The sequence below is a fragment of the Homo sapiens genome, chromosome 10 (assembly GCF_000001405.40).
Source record: "Homo sapiens chromosome 10, GRCh38.p14 Primary Assembly".
Lineage (NCBI taxonomy): Eukaryota > Metazoa > Chordata > Mammalia > Primates > Hominidae > Homo > Homo sapiens.
In genome coordinates this window covers 46,926,598-46,948,576 of record NC_000010.11, presented here as the reverse complement: position 1 = coordinate 46,948,576, position 21,979 = coordinate 46,926,598, and the positions used below count along the sequence as shown (strand labels likewise).

The following is a 21,979-nucleotide window of genomic DNA, read 5'->3' as shown; positions in this document are numbered from 1 at the left end:
AAGCCAATGGTTCACCATAGGTAATGAGAGCAACACAAAACCAAAACCCAGCTCATGTCCTAAATGGCCTACCAGAGGAATAGGCATGACTATTTCTAGGCATAAATTCTATTTACTTTAGTCTCTTTTTTTCTACACCCAGTACCAACACTCAATCAGATATATAGACACATAATGAAGCTGCAGCAGCTGCAACAACAGAAGCCAGTGTCAAAAAGCAAAGCAATCACAGAAAAAAATATCAGCAACAACCCATCTGTCAGAGTTATCCACCAGGGAATTTTAAATAACTATCATTAACATGTTAAGCTCTATGAAAAATGCAAACAAAACGCATTAACAACAGAGACGGAATCTGTAAGAAGGTGTCAAATGGAAATGTTGTACATAAAAAACACTGTGTGCTTTCAATGGGTTCATTAGTAGACTTGACACAACCAAGAAAGGAATCAGTAAACTTGAAGAAAGGTTGACAGAAATTACCTAACTGAAATACAAAGAGTAAGAAGAGTAGGAGAAAAGAAAAGTAAAAAGCAACAAATAATGTTAGTACAGCTTCTTTGGAATACAGTTTGTCTGTTATACACTTATGACCCAGCAATCCCACTCCTAGATATTTACCTTAAAGTAATGGAAACTTATGTTTACACAAAGTTTGTGAATATCTGTAGTACTTTTATCCATAATTGCCAAAATCTGGAAGCAACACAGTGTCCTTCAACTGGTGAATGGAATACTATTCAATAAAAAAGAAATTAAATACTGATAAATGCAATGACACAGATGAATATCAAAAGAATTATGCTAAGTGAAAGAAGTTGGACTCAAAAGGCTACATATTTATGATTCCATTTATACAATACCTTGAAAAAGACAAAAGTAAAGAGAATGAAAATAGATTACTGGTTGCTAGGCACCGGTGGTAGGGTAAAGGGTTAACTATAAAAAAATACAAGAGAAATTTGGGGGGAGATAGAAATGTACTATACCTTGATTGTGATGGTAAACCTTGGTCAAACCTCATAGAACTGTATGCTAAAAGGGTGAATTTTACTGTATGCCTCAGTTTAATTAAGCATGTTTTAATTAATTAAAAATTATGTCTCGTTTTATAAAAGCATATTCTTATAAACTATTTTTGTAGGAGATCTGCATTTTAATAATTGCATAAGGTGATATTTTCTTAACTGGATTTGACATTTTTCAAATAAAGTCATTAGAGAAGATGTTTCCAACATTTGATGGGATGTTGGTTATGGATGACCTCTAAGATCCTCTCCAACTCCAAGGTTTTTGAGGTGTGCATGTGATCCCCCAAGTTTACAAACACAAATTTTATAAATATATATATATATATATATATACACATACACATATATGTTAAGTATATATTCATAGTTCTAATTACATTTATATTATATATACATGTAAATACGTATACACAAAAAGTTCTGAAATATTCTTCAGTATTATAATTTATTATATATTTGTTATTGTCTTTTTTTCCACTATAAACATGTGATAATTTGTAATCCAAAAATGTTATTATTTTACTTACAAAGCATATATTGTGCAACAAATTTTTAAAAAGGAAATAAGGAAGCAGGTTATTTTTCAAATCTATAAAATACCTAGCTTTAAAAAAATGGATTTTACTAAACTGACATATTTAATACTTTAAAATACTTGAAGAAAGGACAGGAATTAGCCATTGTGAATATGGGGTGTGGAGCATTTTTTTAATTGCATTTTTTTATTTTTAAAAGAAAATCCTAGAAAACCATATTTTCCCATTTTTGAAGTTTTCCCTAGCTCTTTCTTTCATTTGTATTAGAAATATCTTTGTGCATATCTCTAAAATAGAGCCTCAACTTGCTACTACAAATAGGATGATGTCATACCAGAAAGTAGAGGGGAGAGAGCCTGTGATGGCCCTGCAGCCTCCTCATCCTCACTGCTCCACCTGTCTCTTCTGAAGGGGCCTCTGGCTGTCCACATGCTGGGATCACTGCCACTAGAAAAGAAATGTATATATTTGCCCATGGTTTCAAAGAATATATACATTTGAGAAATACTTTCTAATCATCTTCATTGATTATTTAATTGACATTCATTTCCATTTCAATTCAGCCACCCACTCCCATTGTCATCACCTGAAACTGGCCCACTTGTGAAATAATTCCCAAATCCCAATGTCTGATCACAAACTCCATCTCCTCCTACTACTTTTACCTTGCAAACTAGTCGCCTCAGATCCATCCACTTATTTACCTTCTCCCCTCCTTTACCTAGACTGTGGGAGGGAAGTACTCGGGTCACTGGGCTTTCTAATATCGGCAGAGAGCCGTTTGGAAAATACCAGCATGTCCCTGGTTGGTTTCCTGTACCACTCTTCCATGGCAGCAAATTCCAAGCCACCATCTTGTTATAGTCCTTATTTTAATACTCTCTCTGACTTAGTAAAAATGTAACTTCTTCTAGAAAATGCAAGCCAGAAAATAGAAATTCTTTCAATTTATTATCTTTTAAAACATTTACTTAGATGCATCAATGTCTTTCTTATTCCTTGCTTTCTGCCTGTTCAAAATTCCTCCTTCCGTGTTCTTAACCAGATTCCTTCTGCCTCCTCTAAGGTATTTTTCTATAACTTATTTTTTTTTAACATATCGTGAATTTCTCCCTATCTACAAATTCTTTCATATCATAAGAATACACAATTTTCTGTATCTTAAAAATAGGAAATGCTTTAAACTCTGTCTAGCTACTAATTGTTAACAGATTTTTCAAATCCTAGCCCATACCCACTTTGTTTCCTTTGCAACGTCTCCATACTCAACTGACTCGCTAATGCTATTAACTTGGCTCTTGTTGCACTTTCATTTGCAACCCTACCTAGCAAAATCCTCCTAATTTGACTTCTGCATCTAACCTTCAATGTTTAGAGAAAATTCTTCCTAAAATACAAACTTAATTACACCTGCCCACCAATATCAGGATAAATCAAGGCCCCTTATCAGACACAAAAGTTTAGGATATTGGCCAGGTGGCCTCTGTCTATTTTTCCATCACCATCTCCACTGATTTCCTACATGCACTGTATGCTTTAACCTTAGCAAAATAAGTGCCTTTTTCTTTTACTTCTGTAAGAAAATTCGGGTTTCTTACTCTTTTCTCCTTCTAATTTTTTTCTTGGATTACTGTAAACATTTAATTAATCTCCACTGACTGCCACTTCCAGCTATCCTCACCTTGCCACCAGCATTCCTCCTTCTGGATGGATAAATAGATAGTTGCATGAATAAAACAAAAAGACCCTCCGTATGCATCCTTTTGATTTTAACAGACTGAATAAAATGTATACTCAGCTTCACATATATGGCATTACTTCCCTCTCCAGCCCACACTGTATTTTGGGCTCCACCTCTCATCTTCTGCAGCTTCCTAGCATTCCACCTCACATACACCCTACAACTCTTGGCAGCTAATATTTCTCCCCATTACCCCTAAGATATTTTCACAACTCCTTACCCTCGCTCAAACTTCTCCCTCTTGCCTGAAATGTTCTTCTCTTTTTCACCTGCTAGGTTTCTATTTAATTAAATCCTAAATTCAACCAAAATATCTTTTCTTCAAAGAAGCTTGTGGGAAACCTCCCTCATGCATAGTCAATCTTCTGTACCCACAATCTTTGGATTTTTACTCTAAAATAATATTTACTATGTTGTACATCAATTTGTCTTTTATATGTCTGTTTCCCTAATTAAACTGTGAACTAAAGAGCAAAAAATATATAGTAGTTTGTATTTGTATACAGTGCTTAGTGTATCACAGAATCTCAAAATGTCTTTGGAATTACTATTATTTGTTTAATGCACTTCTGAAAATTGTACATATAAATTTCATACAATACGCATACAAAAACACATAATATAAAGAATATACACATTCTTATACAGTGCTATTCCAGTGAGGGTAGCTAATATTACTGATAAATCTCTAAGAAAATATGGCTTAACAAAATGTTTCCTCATTTGATGTTTTTGCTTATAACACCTAAATTTGAACATTTTATAAGCATGAAAACTTGTTTCTTTGTTTTCCTAATGGAAATTTACTGTTCTTCAGGTACTTTAAATTTTTTAAATATATACTACCAGAAATTCACCATACTAATAAACCTGTTGTTTATACCATATAATTTTCTTTCTGAAAACAGATTACATTTCTAATAACATTTAGTGCTGTACCGTGAGCTTCATGCTACCTCAAGTACACTGACCACTTCAAAAGCTCCAAGCATATTTGCAAAAGCTTTGACGCCATGTAACTATTGAGAGGAGAGAGAAATCGAATCCTTCAAGAATACTTTTCCCTTATGTTAATTACCATATTTTTGAGATCATAAACATATTTCTAAGAAAGCTAAATCAAGTTTATAAAAAGCTATATCTTGAAAAATTAAACATTTCAGGGCCATTATTCACTGTCTCCATGCAGAGGGCTAGCTATGAATATAAGTAGCATAAACAGAAAACCCACTAAATAAGCATATTAGTTATACCTTTCTGAAGGCTCTTCAAAAACATCCTCATAATCATTATGTGGGAAATTCCGAAGAGAAAGTTTTACCTTCTCTGAATTAACTTTATTTTCAAAAACCTACAGACATAAGAAAGGAAACAAATTATAGCACTGGTTTTAGAAAAATATGGTTTAAAACGTGATTTCTATAGCTACTTAAGAAGAGCAAAAAGATCTGCAATAATGGAATTATAACCACAATCACATAGTATAATGTCTGCTCCTAGAAAATCACTTAATTGTATATCTCCCTATTAAATATCTTCCAATCTGTCAAAACAGTGTAGAGTACTATGTAAACAGAAGTTATTTATATTGAATTGCTCAAGTGATTTTTCAAAACTAAATTTTTAAAAAGCTTCATTTGAGAAAAAATAGATTTATTACTTCAGCCCAGAAGAGATTTTCTTATAAGTGTTTACCATGTTTTGTTTACTGTGAATATAAAATTCCTGCCACTAAATTTATCTTTACTTTAGTACTTGCACCATCTAATCTACTAATTCTAAGTATTTCTCCACATTCCACTGCCCAATTTTGCACCGGGCAGTGGACTTCAGTCTTGATAACTCGCAGTGCCAGTGCCCCAGCCACCACATACACGTTTCCTTCCTTCCTTGTCTAATACTGTCTTGCCATACTTGGCCTTCTATTTTCTCAAGAACATCTTTTGAATCAGCTGATCAAATCTCATTCACACACAGAAATAACTTTGGGACTATTATTGAAATTAAGTAATATGAATTTTTTAATTTAAATTGGAAATAAGTGATGTATTTATATATTAAGTATCATTATCCACTAATATGATATAGCTATCCAGCAAAAACATTATAAAATATTCTCAATAAAGACAATGTATACCTTTTCTTAGATTTACTCCTAAACACCTTAAGTGGCACAATTGTAAATGTAATGTCATAGAGCAGACCTTTTATTTGATACACACTGCTCAATCCACAAACCACATGTTTTTACATCTAGTATTTTTGTGTACATTCCATTCTAAATACTTTAAACTTCCATTATGATTTCTTCTTTGACTAATGAGTTTGTTAGTGTTTGCTTGGTGTATGTTTAATTTTTACTTTAAAATCACAGGAAAATGTCCACCTAAGATTCCTTCTCATTAAACTATGTAGCTACAATACACGAAATGAAATGAGCTTCACAGAATTGAACTAGTTTTGAAATCAGCACTGATTGGCAAATCCCTAAAAATTAATTTCAGGATAATTAAAATTGAAATGTAGAAAGTGTGGCTCCAGTGGGATGGAGGAAAAGAAGTGGGACACATGCTATTACACAACATGATCCCACTTCCCTCTTATGAGACATGCTTAAAAGTCATTTGAGTACAATTCATTTACTTAGAAAAAGTGATATCTGGAAGTCCTAACACAATTTAAACCTGAGACATCTTTCAGCTCATGGTTCAAAATCAAATTGATTATATTTATTTTTTAAAGAAGCAGACTGTTCCAGATGGCTGCAATTCAAATTTAAGGCTGACTAACATATGTCTGATTGAGTGAAATGTGATTTTGCTAACAATACCAAGAACTAACAAGGAGAAATATAATAAATTATCAAGATGGCAGGACTTTTGGAGATTGCTCACGGAATCAAATTAATATCAAATTTTTTAAATGTTAGAAAATGTTTTCTGAGGAGCCTAAGTTAGCTTTTCTGTAGTCCATGCAGCAAGGATTTATGAGGACAAAGTGAAAACAGTAACACAGATAGGAGCCTGGTTTCTAGTCTGTGACTCAAGAGTTATATGATCATAGACAAATCGCTTCAGCTTTCACCTCTAAAATGAGTGCTGGCATAAAAATGTCTTTAACAGGCCAGGTGTAGTGGCTTATGCCTATAATCCCAGCACTTTGGGAGGCCAAGACGGGTGGATCACCTGAGGCCAGGAGCTCAAGACCAGCCTGGCCAACGTGGTGAAACCCTGTCTCTACCAAAAATCCAAAAAATAAATTAGCCTGTCTCAAAAAAAAAATTTCTTTATGCTCCAAATCTAACCAACTTCAAGTCTATGAGTCTAGACAATTTCTAGGGGACAGCATCATATCTGAAAGGACATAAAAATGGCTACAGTATCAAATTGTTTCATGAAACATAAGAAAAGCAAGTTCTAATAAAATCAGGTAATTTTCCCAACACTATAAAAACCATCCAGGAATGTTCTAAGATCCTTTTTTATGAAAGGAAACTTTAAAGCATATCAGAATTCACCCTAGATAGGCCAAGCTATAACTTAGCAAAAAAACAAACAAACAAACAAGCAAAAAAAAACCCAAAGTAAAAATATAAACAAAATCACAAAATGTGCTCAGTTCTAGAAGAAGTCAAATAAGACTATAAGACTATATAAAGGATATACTTGGGCCATTCTGTGAAGGTGCTCCCTTTCAAATCGTCTCTGCTTCAAAGAGAAAACCATTCTGATCAGAGAAAAGAATCAAGAGTGAGCGGAGAGCCCAACACGGCACTAACAGCCAGAGATTCCCAGCCAAAGATGTGATGGTAGCCTTGATGTGGCCAACTTAAGTATAGCAGAGAATGGACAGGAGATAATAATCAAGTTACAACACTGTTCTTAAAAGCTGCACTCCTGCCCACCTGGGGTGGAGGTGGCAATTGAACAGGGGAAGTGGTAGGAGCAGTTTTTGGTCTATGTACTGACTTTATCTCTATTACTCCTGTAACTTACAGGAAATGAACACAAGGCCAGCATCATCATCGCAGTTCCAAAGCTCCAGTTGACTAGGTAAGAGAAAAAAAAATGCAAAGCACCCACCAGACTAAAATGCATTTCCCTTTTTTTGTGCTCTAACCCTAGCACTATCTCCACAAATGGGGTAATGTGTTGAAGTAAGAGTTTTTGTCACAGACTTTTCACAGCCCTCTACTTTTCCATAGTTCGGAGACACCCAATCATGCTGTCTCAAACAATGAAAAAGTCCACAATCAATACATCTAAAGGTGCTTCATACTTCATGTGACATTTATTTTGTATCTTCATTAGTAACACAAAACTAGTGCCTGTAAAATTTCCAGAGTAGCATTAGAAAATGCAATTCATTAGAAACTTTGCAAAAAATTCCACTCTTTCAAATCCCCATTTTGGTCACTGTCAACACTACAGTGACAAAAAATTAAGAAATCATTTTGGTGAGAACCAAATAGATACCCATTTCCCAGAGAGCATAGTCAGCAATTTAGGTATTAGCCAAAATTAGTAGAGATCCCTCTCCTTTTAGTCTTACCTTTGATCTAGGTGTGTTTTCCTGACTTGATGAAGGCAAAGTCTCCCTGAAATTCAAGTCTTCTGCTTCAGAGTCATTTCCCTCATAATCGTTTACTGAACAAAGGCGGGGGGAAAAACTGATCAAATAGAAAACACTATACAGAAGGAAAAATGGAGCCTTAATGAGAAAAAACAAGCTACATGAGGGGCATTTTCATCTACTTTTCCTGTTTTCCAAACACCCCATCTTTATCTCCTATGGTAATCATCTCTTTCTCCCCTGCTTTGAAAAAATCAACATAGCAAAGCTGATCCTTCTTCTAGGATTATCCTCAGGGAGTTGACTTTTGAGCGGTTCCCTTGTTCCTCATTGCCATATTATTCAAGAAAGTACTCTTCAAGTAAATCCTAGATATTTACAACCTGCAGAACCTATGCATTGGGATCTACAGAATACAGTCTTCTGTGTTTCAGAGTCTATTTCTTGAATAAAGAATACTGTGTTACAAATGTCGCACTGTAACTTCTTGTATTATTTATAATTCATAAGTTAGTAATATGTTAAATTATACAGAAAATTGTTTTCGGCTTTGTTGAATAATGTAATATGAATCATCCCAAGGAAACTCTGGGTTTCTTATATGATTATTCCTAATTACTGTGTTAATTTTACTGCACAGACTCTTTCAGATAAGAAGCCAAGAGAAAATTTTCTCTGATCTCAGTACTGAGCACTCAGAGTACTGTTTCTCATACCATGGGAGCCTTAAATATTATGATTTAGAAATTCTATGGCATGGCATATTACCAAATCAATAAAAATATAGTAAACAAGTACTATGGAAATGAAAAAGTGTGTTCCTGAATGTGTGTTAAAAAGGAAATCTAATAGAAATTATGAACCTTTATAACACATGAATTAATTTTATAAATTAAAACATTAAGAAATATCAATGAAGGGACAACATATCAAAACTAATGTGAAGTAGCTAAATGAGTATTTAGATAGAGGGAAAATGTATAGGTTTAAATGTGTTTACAAAAAAGGCAGAAAAAAAAAGCTGATATAAATGAGTTTTGTATTCAATCATAGAAGCCAAAGAAAAACTGAGGAAACCCAGAGAAACTACAAAGGAGAAAATCATAAAGAAAAATATAATAACAGAAAATAAGCCTAAAGAATAATCAGCAAAATCCAATAAACTAGTTCTTTGAAAAAAAAAACTTAAAAATACGCAACCCTCTTTCACTACAAATCAATGGAGAGTAAGTGCACAAATAACATTAAAAATGAAAAAGGATCGCTTCTCGGCCTTTTGGCTAAGATCAAGTGTAAAAATGAGAAAGGGCACAGCTACAGATGCAACTCTCATTTTTAAAGGTAATAAGCAAATATTATGAGAAACTTTAGGGAAATCTGATGAAATGGAAACTTTTATAAGAGAATTATAAGTTATACAAATTTACTCCAGAAGATGTAGAAAGCCTAAATAGTGTAATAACCATTTAAAAAGTCAAACCAATAATCAAAAATATCACTCCCAAGAGGAAAAAGCATCTGGGCCCAAACAGGTTTCCAGATGGGATTTTATCAGACTTTCAATGAAAAAAATCTCTCATGCAAACGGTTCTGAAAATAGGAAATTCCGCAAACCTAGGAAGGAGCTTCAAGTGCTAGAAAAAAAATTAACAGGAAAAAAAAGTCTATGAGAATTGTAAACAAGCAACTCATAGAAGGCGACTTACAGGCCAATAATATATTCAGAAAAAGTCCAGCCTCACCTGACAAACAAAAAATGAAAAGTAAAACAACCTACAATTGACTTTCATTTATGCTTATGAGAGATTTACTGTAATAGGACTTAACCACAACCAACCAGAAAATAGGACAAAATATATAAAACAATAATTTTCAGACCTTAAACAACAGACTGTGATCCCAGAGAGAAGGGGGTGAGCCTTCTGGTTGCTCCAGATTATGGCCTCCAGAAGTTTGCAGGCTATAGCTCAGGAAAGGAATCAACGAGTCCAGTGATTCAATGAGTTGAGAAGAAAAAGATCAAAGTTAGGAGAGGCTGAGGCAGCCAGAATTTGTAGGGCAGAGTACCAGGGAGGAGGGAGCTATACAGAACAAGAGAAGTCTAAGTAGCTGCAAAGAAACCCTCTCATGTCCTTTGCAGAATATGGATATGCTTATATGAAGGAGGACAATCTCTGACACTCAGGAAGGACCACCGGAAAGTAGCAAGCCACACAATTCCTAGGAACAGTTCATATGAGCCAGAATGAGGAGACCCTGTAATACAGGGGGCGTTGAGGATAGTGCACAGAAGAGATACCTCTTAGTACTAAAACTATCCTTGGAACAGAAGCTCCTTAGGGCCACCTATAAAAAAGGTGAAGAGCAAGCCTCAGACAGGATCAGGTTAAACTTCAAGTAACATAACTACAAGGCAGAAAAACCCAACATTCTTTAAAGAAAAATCAAGGCCGGGTGTGGTGGCTCACGCCTGTAATCCCAGCACTTTGGGAGGCTGAAGAGGGTGGATCACGAGGTCAGGAGTTCGAGATCAGCCTGACAAACATGGTGAAACCCCATCTCTACTAAAAATACAAAAATTAGCTGGGCATGGTGGTGCGCACCTGCAATCCCAGCTACTCAGGAGGCTGAGGCAGGAGAATCACTTGAACCCAGGAGGCAGAAGGTTGCAGTGAGCCAAGATTGCACCACTGCACTCCAGCCTATGAGACAGAGTGAGACTCTGTCTAAGAAAAAAAAAAAAAAAGAAAAGAAAAAGAAAAAAGAAGAAAAAAAGAAAAGAAAAAGAAAAAATCCAGCACCAAAATCATATAATTCACAATGTGTAGTAAACAATTAACAGGTATGCCAAGGAATAGAAAAGTATAACCCACAGCCAAATCAATCAATCAATAGAAATGTACTTAGAAATGACAGATGATAAAATTTAGAAAAAAGAACTTTTAACTATTATAAATTTTTAAAAGGTGCTCAAGGAAATAAAGAAAAACATGATACAATAAAAAGAGATATAAATCATGTAAAAATAAGACCTACTGAAATTTCTAGAGACAATGTATGAACTAAAATAAATTAACAGCAGATAAGGCAGAAGGAAAAAAAATCAGTGTCTGTCAACATACAGCAAGAGTATATCCAAAATGAAGCGCACAGTAGCGAAAAAAAGAGACTGAACAGACTCAGCAAACTGGGACAACATCAAGTGAACTAAAATTCCTGTAACTGGAATGCCAAAACAAATATGAAGAAATAATAGCTGAAGTGTTACCAAACTAGATGAAAACTATAAACCAACAGACCAAAGAAGGTCAATAAAATACAAATGTAATATATGAGCTTATAGAAAAATCACATTCATGTATGTCATATTCAAACTACTGAAAAGAAAAAATGCCAGAGAAAACAGACACATTAAATATAGAAAAACAAAGATAAGAATGATGGATTTCTCATCAGAAATCATGCATGCTAGAAGATAATGGTGAGACATTTTAAAGTATTGAAAGAACATAGAATTCTTATAGAATGTCAATATAGAATTCTATACCCTGAAAATATATATTTCAAAAAATAAGACTTCTGTAGACCAATAAAAACTAAGATTATATCCAGCCTGCACTAAACAACAACAACAAAAGTTAAAGGAAGTTTTTCAGGCACAAGGAAAAGGATAAAATATGAAAATGTAGAACTATCCAAAGGAATGAAGAGTGGCAAAACTGGAAAATACATGAGCACATAAAACATACTCTTTCACATGTTCTAATTTCTTTAAAAGATAACTCAATTATAAGGAAAAATAATAATCTATTGTAGGGTATACAACACTCACAATAAAATTGGTATCAATAATAGCATGAAAGGCAAATGGGAGGAAATGGAAGTATCTTATGTTCCTACAACTATATGTGAAATGGTAAAGCAGTTCCCGCTTACCCACAGGGAATGCCTAGTTCCAAGACCCCCAGTGGATGCCGAAAACTTAGGATAGTACTTCCTGCACTGAAGTCTTAAATCCCTCAAAGTCATCCATGAGGGTTAAAATCAGTTTTTCCCAAACTCCCATTAATGTTGACATTTTGACCTCCTCCCATAAACCACAAATGTTCTTAATGGCGTCTAGAATGGGGAGTTATTTCCAAAAGGTTTTCAATTTACTTTGCCCAGAGCCATCAGAAGAATCACTATCTATGGCAGCTACAGCCTTACAAAATGTTTCTTAAATAATGAGACATGAAACTCAAAATTACTCATTGATTTCTAGGCTATGGAATAGATACTAAATCAGGAACTAACTCAGTAATTTAAAAAAACCTACCAATCAGAAAGAGCCCGGGCCAGAAGGATTCACAGTCAAATTCTACCAGATGTATAAACAAGAGGTGGTACCAATCCTACTGAAACTATTTCAAATAATTAGGAAGAGGGACTCCTCCCTATCTCATTCCATAAGGCCAGCATCGTTCTGATACCAAAACCTGGCAGAACACATGGTCTAATATCCAGAACTTATAATGAACTTATAAATGAACAAGCAAGAATCAAACAACCCTGTTAAAAAATGGGCAAAGGACATGAACAGACACTTTTCAAAAGGAGACATACACATAGCCAAGAAGCATATGAAAAAATGCTCAATATCACTAATCATCAGAGAAATGCAAATGAAAACCACAATGAGATACCATCTTACACAAGCCAGAAAGGCTATTATTAAAAAGTAAAAATTAAAAAAAAAATGTTTGTGAGGTTACAGAGAAAAGGGAACACTTATACACTGCTGATGGGAATTTAAGTTCAACCACTGTGGAATGTGGTTTGGAGATTTCTCAATGAACATAAAACAGAACTACCATTTGATTCAGCAATCACATCACTGGCTATATGAAGGGATATAAATTGTTCCGTCATAAAGACATATGCACATGTATGTTCATCACAGAACTTTTCACAATAGCAAAGACATGGAATCAACCTACATGCCTGTCAACAGTGGAATGGATAAAGAAAATGTGGTGCAAAAACACCATGGACTATTACACAACCATAAAAAGAATGAAATCATGGCTGGGTGCGGCGGCTCATGCCTGTAATCCCAGCAGTTTGGGAGGCCAAGGCGGATGAATTACCTGAGGTCAGGAGTTTGAGACCAGCCTGGCCAACATGATGAAACCCTGTCTCTACTAAAAATACAAAAATTAGCCGGGCATGGTGGCACACGCCTGTAATCCCAGCTACTCGGGAGGCTGAGGCAGAAGAATTGCTTGAGCCTGGGAGATGGAGGTTGCAGTGAGCCGAGATCGTGCCACTGCACTCCACCTGGCTGACAGAGCGAGACTCTGTCTCAAACAAAAACAACAACAACAACAATAAAAAAAAAAAAAAAAAAACAGAATGAAATCATGTCCTTTGCTGCAACATGGATGTAGCTGGAGGCCATTATCTTAAGTGAATCACTACCTGGGTGATGAGATCATTTGTTCACCAAACCACAGCAACAAGCAATTTGCCCATGTAACAAACCTTCCTATGTACCCCCAAGCCTAAAATAAAAGTTGGAAAGAACTAGTCTACAAAAAAGTTTGGGTAGCTTTCCATGTTTTTGCATATTCTAGCTTAACTGATTTATCATTAAAATTAGCTTTTTCATAAAAGTTTGCAACTGTTAAAGGATAGTTTCCAGAAAAAGAAAATCACAGCTCTCATACAGACATATAAATGCACATGTTACTTTATTATATTCATTAATCAGTGAGGGAATCAGGCAGATGTTATTTTTAAATTTTTTTTTAAAAAACCCATAATACTGTGTGTTAGTCTGTTAGCATCACTACGTAGGAATGTCTAAGGCTGGGTAATTTATAAAGAAAAGAGGTTTGTTCTGGCTCGTGGTTCTGCAGGCTGTACAGGAAGCATGGTGCTGGTATCTGCTTCTAGTATCTAACCTCAGGAGGCTTATAGTCATGGCAAAAAGTGAATGAGGAGCCAGCAAATCACATGGTGAGAGACAAAGCAAGAGAGAAGGGGAGGTTCCAGACTCCTTTGAACAATCAGATCTCACATGAACTGAGAGAGCACTCACTCATCACCAGGGGGATAACACCAAGCCATTCACGAAGGATCTGCCCCTATGATCCAACATCTCCCACCAGGTTGGGGATTACCTTTCAACATGATTAGAAGAGATAAACATCCAAACTATACCATACAGGAAGTCCTTGCCAGAGCAATTAGGCAAGAGAAACAAACAAAAGGCATCCAGATTGAAAAGAAGGAACAATTAGGCAACAGAAACAAATAAAAGGTAGCCAAATTGAAAAGGAGGAAGTCAAATTTGTCCCTGTTTAGAGATGACATGCTCTTACAAATGCAAAAACCTGAAGAATCCACCAAAAAACTCTTAGAACTGATAAACAAATTAAGTAAAGTTGCAGGATACAAAATCAACATGCAAAAATCAGTAGCATTTCTATAAAACAATAACAAACTACCTGAAAAAGAAATCAAGTAAGCAATCTCATTTACAATAACTACAAAAAATAATACCTAGGAATAAATTTAACCAGAGATTAAAGATCTCTAGAATAAGAACTATAAAAAATTGATGAAATAAATTGAGGAAGACACAAACCAATGGAAAGACATCTCATGTTCATGGAATAAAAGAATAAATATTTTTAAAATGACAATATAACCAAAGAATCTGAGAGCTCAATGCAATTCCTATCAAAATACCAATGACATTCTTCAGAGAAATTTTAAAATCATAAAATTCATATGGAAGTACAAAAAATACTCCAAATAGCCAAAGCAATTCTGAGCCAAGAAAAACAAAAACAAAATAAAAACAAACAAACAACAACAAAAAAAAAACAAGAACAAAGCTTGGGGTATTACACTACCTGACTTCAAAATACACTACAAATCTATAGTAACCACAAAATCATGATACTGGTATAAAAACAGACACATATACCAGTGGAATAGAATAGAGAACCCAGAAATAATTCCATATGTTTATAGCCAACTCTTTTATGACAAGGCACAAAGAACATATATTGGGGACAAGAAAGTCTCTTCTATAAATGGTCCTGGAAAAAACTGGATATTCCTATGCAGAATAAACTTAGACTCCTATCCCTCATCTTACACATAATCTGACTTACAGATGGAATCCAGGCTCACAAAAGCAGATAGCAGAATGGTGGTTTCCAGGGTATAGAGGAAGGAGGAAATGGGGAGTTGTTGGTCAGATGGTATCAAGTAACAGTTACACAAGATGAATACGTTCTGAAGATCTGATGTATAGCAAAATACATACAATACTGTATTGTAATGATATTTGCTAAGAGGGTAGATCTTATGTTTGTAATACACACATACACACAAAGAAAGAAAATGGTAACTGTGAGGTGGTGGATATGTTAGCTTAATTGTGGTAATCATTTCACAGTATATAGACAAATCAAAACATCAAGTTGCACACCTTATGTATACACAATTTTTGTCAATTATACCCGATAAGGATTGGAAAAACACTTCTAGGGAGAGAGCAATAATAATGACAAGGAGGGCGGATAGAAGAGGGAATAGAAGCTGGGCTGAAGGTGGAAGGAATGAGAAAAGGCATAAAAGACATACTGAAAAATGATGGCAAGCTACTAATGTTTTAAGCAAGACAATGGCAATATGGGTCGGCTGGGAGACAGCTGACATTTAACTAAAACACTGCATTAGTAGATGTATCAAAAACCTTAGAAATGTATATGCCCTGAGTTCACAGCTAACAAAATTATGGAAACAAACAGCTTTGTGGCAGATTACAGGTTGTTTTTATTGTCTTGTTGTTTTCTTTGTGTTTTGGTGCTTTTTTGTACTTCCCAAATTCTTCACAATAAACCTATATTACATTTATAATCAGGAAAAAAAAATGCCATTTGAAAAGGGTAAAGTAAAACACTAGAGTTTAATTGTTGTTACTCTAAGCGTGATGGCTTATTAGAAATGCAGAGTCTTGCCCCCCACCCCACCCCACCAAGACCCAGAGGATCAGAATATGCAGGATAATAATCCACAGGTGGTCCCTATGCAAATCTACAGTCTGAGAGGCACTCCTGTAGCTCCTCCTGATCCCATACCCACAAAAGTAGATGATGCACCTACCAGGCTCTGCTCTAAAGTCCCTAGGTGAAGACATGTTGTTCCCATCCCCTAAATGAGACTGGTAAAAGGCTTCTTCAGAAAAGGAGCCTTAGTGTCCTGTGAGTCAGGCCAAAGGTCTAGTTAGTATCCTGGGGGCCAGCAAACAATTTTTGTTCACCTGGTAAAACACACAAAGCCAAAGATTTTTCTGTTACACAACTGGAGCTATCACAGCTTTGACATATTATTACTCATCAATTCAAAATATTTAAAACTGCAATTTTAATTAAAGACAAAATAAATTTCATTTGAAATTTTATCAAATAATTTCAGGATATTCCTTGAGAACTGGAGATACGCTTATTTATTCAAATACCAGAGCTTAAATATGCTATACCTTGCATTCCACAAATAAATATGTGAATGGCCCCTCCACTCCAATGACGTATCTCTTTATATAAACACACACACACACACACACACACACACACAAATTCAATCAATGTCACTCAATGGAAACTCAGTTATTTAAACGCCACACCTAAGCTAAATTAGGTGCTGAGAATTCAGTACTGAATAAATAAGAATTAATTACAGAGACCGTCTTCAAGGAGTTCTTGTTCATTCAATCTATAAAAAGTTCTCACACAGAATAAATCTTTTTTCTTTTCTAATTCTTGCCATAAAGGGCCTGTAAGGCCATGTTACATTGCTCCCATTGGTTAAAACCAAGAATACTTTTATCTGGAGACCTTTCCATTTACTACCTGCAAATAAAATGGTATTACTATAATCTGAATCTAAAGTTAATGTGTGAAACAGATTTATTTTAAAAACTTTGAGATATAGGTGTTAAAAAATTATTTAAGACTAGGTGTAGTGGCTCATGCCTACAATCCTAGCACTTTGGGAGGCCAAGGCAGGAGGATCGCTTGAGCTCAGGAGTTTGAGACCAGCTGGGGCAATTGGGTGAAATCCTGTCTCTACAAAAATTAGACGGGTGTGGTGGCACACACCTGTGGTCCCAGCTACTTGAAAAGCTGAGGTAGGAGAATGGCTTGAGCCTGGGAGGAGGATACAGTGAGCCAAGATCATGCCACTGCAGTCTAGCCTGGGCAACAGAGCCAGACCCTGTGGCAGAAAAAATAAAATTAAACTAAATTAAAATGTGAAAGTAAGGCAAAAGATAAGTGGAATGTCACTTCAATGTCATAAAATAATGACAGGCCATCCCAAAGATTACTTATGTGGGGAAATTGTACTTTATTCAGTTCATTGTTTACTACTGATTAAAAGTCCTAGACTTAATGCAATTACAACGTAACCTATAGATTTTTGTCCAGCAGTGATACAAATAATTTCTGTCTGATAAGGTAACACTAAAGATTATAATTTATTTCTGTCTGGCATTAACCAGGTTTTCTTAATCTAATCTAGCATTCTTACTCTAACATTGGTTCAAAACGCCAGTGAAAAACCTAGATCCTCAAACTGTTCTTTGAACTACCTTTGCCATCTTCCTGGTTTCTTCACTAATTAATACATTGAGTAAAATGTTTAACCTGGTTTCATTTCAAATTTGTGAGTCACATTTATAATTTTTAAAAAACTCTGCTTTGACAAGGGGAAGAATATCTTTTTTAAATAGGAGGAGGGCTAGGCACAGTGGCTCACACCCGTAATCCCAGCACTTTGGGAGGCCGAGGTGGGAAGATCACTTGAGCTCAAGAGTTCGAGGGCAGCCTGAGCAACCCAGTGAGACCTCATCTCTACCAAAAATTAAAAAAAAGAAAAAGATAGCCAGGTGTGGTGGCACTCACCTGTAGTCCCAGCTACTTGGGCGGCTAAGGCAGGAGGATCACTTGAGCCCGCAAGATGGAGGCTGCAATAAGCTATGATTGTGCCACTGTACTCCAGCCTATGCAACAGAGCAAGACTCTGTCTCAATTAAAAACAAAAACAAAAGGATGGCAGTGTTCTTGTGACTGGCAGTGAGGTAACAGATTTCAGTAAGGAGCCTTCCCTGGAAGCAGACATGAGATCTTAAGGACCTCAGAATTAACTAAGAACCTCTAAGAATGACACCTAAGCTTCTGCCTACCAACTATGTTATTGAAAAGATACAAAATAGTACAATTTTAATTAAAGACAAAATAAATTTTGTTTCGAATTTTATCAAGTAATTTCAAGACACTCCTTGATAACTGGAGACACTCTTACTAATTCAAATACTAGGGTTTAAACATGCTATATCTTGCATTCCACAAATAAATATGTGAATGGTCCTTTACCCCAATGACTTATCCTCTTTATATAAATACACACACATATTATTAAGACCTCTCCAGTGCACAGATGAATAGACTAAAATTCATATCAAACCATACCAATAGTCAGTTGTTCAAACCTTCCATCAGAACAGCTTTGATCAGAAATGCATGCCTAATCCTAGTATTTTAATAAACAACAGTGCAGTGAGTCACAGATAACCCTACAGAAACACAAGAATTAAACTGGATAAATTTCCCTTTCCTGGCATGTTTTCTAGTATATCTTAAAATAGACAAAACAAAGCAATATTAAAATCATTAACATTTAATTCAATTTTGAGTTGCAGCTACTGTAGTAAATCAGTAATAAGATCATACAAGTCAACATCAACACATGTGTACTGAAATTTTAGGTAGCCTAGAAAAGTAAACTATATGATAAAAACAAAATCTTCATTTGCAGAAGAAAACCTTTCAGAAAATATAGTGCAAGCTTTTACCATATTTCCCACCTCCCCTCAAGCTTGGCTAAGTAAGCCCCTGCAAGTGCTTCCCCTATAAGCTCCATGTTTTATAATGATTTCTGGACTCATCTCCTCGGGTTGGACCATAAGCATCTTGAGGACAGAAACTGTAACATTTTCACTTTTCAATCTCCAGCCACTAGACTAACACAATGGAGACATGGCAAGAAATGTTTGAGGGACTAATTAGTTAAATTCCATAAAGAATGTGTATGTATCACCAGGTAACTAATCTGCATGTCCACATCAAGAACTCTGAGAAGTCACAGAGGTACCACTTGAGTGATAGGCACTCGGTCCCTTAGGGAAAGATTGTGAAAGATATTGAGGGACCAGTGGTCAGGTTCGTAAGATAAAGGTTTCCCTCCAACTCCTGGGGAAGGTGCAATAGTATAGAAAATAGAGAATTAGCCCTGATAAAAGAGAAATCCTTAAAAAAGTATTACTTATTCTGTGATAGAGCACTGAGGAAAGAGGAACAAAAGCTCCAATATGAAACAAAGTGATCCCATCTAATCATAAATAAAAGAAAAACTACAAGTGTTTGGTTTGCTCAGGAAACAAAAGCAAAACACCTTTCCTCAGGTGGCAGGGTGACATAATTGGAGAGTCACTGAATACTGTACATATTCTCAAATTCTCAGCTGGGACACTATTTTCAGTCTATCTCAAACTCTCTCAAAACTGAAGCAGGTGCTAACAAAGACTATTTCTTCACAGTGGACTTTGGGTTGGGTGCAAGATGCCAAAATAGACAATGTAAAATGACATGCTCAGCACCTTGGGCCTCTGGCAATTCTTAGCACCAGGGCTACTTCTAATTCTTGTGAAAGTTCTATCATACACTACTCCCTGAGACCTATACTAGCCTGAAGAGAAGGGAATGAAAGAAGTCTCAAATGTTCAATAGTGACTTACTCTTGCCCTACCTGTAGGCACCCCAGGGATATGAGTTCCTTCCTCTGAAATCTGTATTTCCTGTGACTAAATTCTCAGTACAAGCTTCTTAGACTACTAGTAATTATTTGGCATGTTTTATGCCTTTTAATAATGGCTCTTAGTTTTCTATAAGGAATGGTGGTATTGCTTTTTCTGATTATAAACATAACCATTAAGAAATGTCATTCCGTGGTTTCTTAATCAATCATTCCCTGTAGTGTGTGAGTATAGGACTGGGGGCTCAGAGGGAAGCAGGGAGAAGTGAAGTGCTAAAGTGCTACCTCCAGAGCCACTGACAGTTCTGCCCAATGCAATCAGGCAAAACAAGAAAAATAAAATAAAAGGATTCATATTGGGAAGGAAGAAGGAAAACCATCTTTACTTGCAAGGTTAAAAGCTTTATACATAATTACACCTCAATAAAGTTGACTTTTAAAAAGCCACAAAAAGATAATGTACTTCAATTAAAATAAAATACAGAAACTCTAGGATAAAGATAATATCAAGTTATTAATGCAAGTTTAAACATTAAAAAATAGTTGCTACCCACTCATCACAGACATGAGCAGCAAGCTCATTAAAGATTACTGTGAGCATTCATTGGAATAATGGAAGACTCAAGGTTCCAAAGGCACTGAGACCCTATATCAACAATGCTTCACCCTTGAAACCCAGGGACTGATGATGATACAGTTGCCATGAGCTACATTCTGAGTAAATACTTTATCAATTATTAGAATGGTTCAAGTAAAAGTAATGAATGACTTAAGACATCTTTCTGAAATGACTCTGTTATCTGGATGCCTCTGCTATTAGGGTGCAAGGCAAACAACCTTCTACTGTTTGTTTCATTCATGATATAAATTGCTTTGGCATATTCCCTCCAACCTCCTGAACCTCAGGTCGATCTGTTTGTCCATTTGTCTGTTTACACTTCTTTTCTTCCCTCCTTCCTACGTTCCTCTCCCTCTCTTGTGGAAGTGTATCAGTAATTATAAGAGGGTGCTTTATTTCAGAAGACACAATTCCTGTACCTCCAATCACTGTTACCAAGCAAAAGAGTTCACTGTTCAATGTGTTAGAAGCCAATACTATGGCACTGGGTTTTTGAGAAAAGAAAGACTTTTTTCTAGGTCAACCAACAAGGAGACAGGAGTCTAGCTCAAATCTGTCTTCCTGTACTGTTTTTAAGGCAGTATTTTTATTAGAAAATGTGTAGGGAGTGAATTTGGGGATAGTAGGAGATTGGTAGAAGGAAAGGGGGGTCTGAAAAGGCTTTGGGCATTTGCAGTATCTCTTCATGCTATCTCATGGGTCACATATGTAAATTCAGGGGGAGTTAGTACGAAACATGCAGTGGAAATTTGGGCTGTGGCGTCAGCAAGCTCATTCTGTGTAGACTCTAGTTTGCTGTATTGGTTCCAACTGATTTCAGCCAGTTTTGTTATCTTAAAAGCAGAGAGAATTTCAGTGTTTCAGAAAGTTGTTTTTGTTTTTTATTTTTATCAACCAATCCTATAAATTCAAGAATTTCTCTTTGCCACTGGTTAACTCTTTGGGGCACAGTTTCATTAGTAGACCTTGGCCTCCATACTCCAAAGAACTACTTATCTACTGGGTGCAGCTGAACCATTTCCATAACTGAGATCATGTAAGTCAGGAATGTATACACATTACACATGTGTGCAGACAAAAGTTCATGACTTCACCTACCAGGTCCAAGACGAGTCTCCTTAGGAATGCCTGCATACAAGCCTGGCCCTTGGCTGGTGTCTGGGAACTTGGCTGGTAAAATCATTGCCTACACTAATATAAATTTTTTCTAAATGAGAAAAGTAGCTCACTTCTCCTAAAACATCTGTTTTCCTTCTAGGTATCTGGAATTTCAGTGACTGCTATCAGTCACACTGACAGTCTGTGCTCATGACTAACCCCTGATAAAAACCCTAAACTCTTAAGCTCAGACGAGCTTCCCTGATAGACAACACTTCACACAAGTTTCCATACCTTGTTATTCAGAAAATTAAGTGCATCCTATGTGACTCCACAAGGAGAATATTCTGGGGAGTTTGTATCTGATATCCCTTGTTGATTTTGCTTTCTACCTTTTCAGTCTACCATATCTTAGCCATGAATGTGACTACCTGCTGAACCCCATGAATCCTTCTATCCAATCGTTGAACCTGGGAGAGCTCTGACAAAGGCTAGCATGGGAAAATACGTT

The 21,979-nt window shown here is 35.8% G+C and overlaps 1 protein-coding gene across 88 annotated transcripts in view; it reads right to left on the bottom strand.

Annotated features, from left to right (window-relative positions):
- Positions 1-21,979, bottom strand: part of PTPN20 (protein tyrosine phosphatase non-receptor type 20) — a 92,226-nt gene that overhangs the window by 55,077 nt on the left and 15,170 nt on the right. For 23 of the 88 annotated variants that reach the window (XR_007061954.1, NM_001042357.5, NM_015605.9 and 20 more), the window contains 4 exons: positions 16,044-16,200; positions 7,860-7,954; positions 4,562-4,659; positions 1,902-2,014 (listed from right to left, as the gene is read on the bottom strand). The exons of 10 other annotated variants lie outside the window; for them this stretch is intronic. Coding sequence is in view for 69 of the 78 variants with exons in the window: in NM_001042357.5 (NP_001035816.1) it covers positions 1,902-2,014; positions 4,562-4,659; positions 7,860-7,954; positions 16,044-16,077 (340 nt within the window). In the remaining 9 variants the exon portion in view is untranslated. Of the gene's footprint in view, positions 1-621; positions 737-1,901; positions 2,015-4,561; positions 4,660-7,859; positions 7,996-16,043; positions 16,201-21,979 lie in introns of all 88 variants that reach the window. 55 more of the 88 variants (NM_001320681.2, XM_047425013.1, NM_001352522.2 and 52 more) reach the window with 8 other exon arrangements.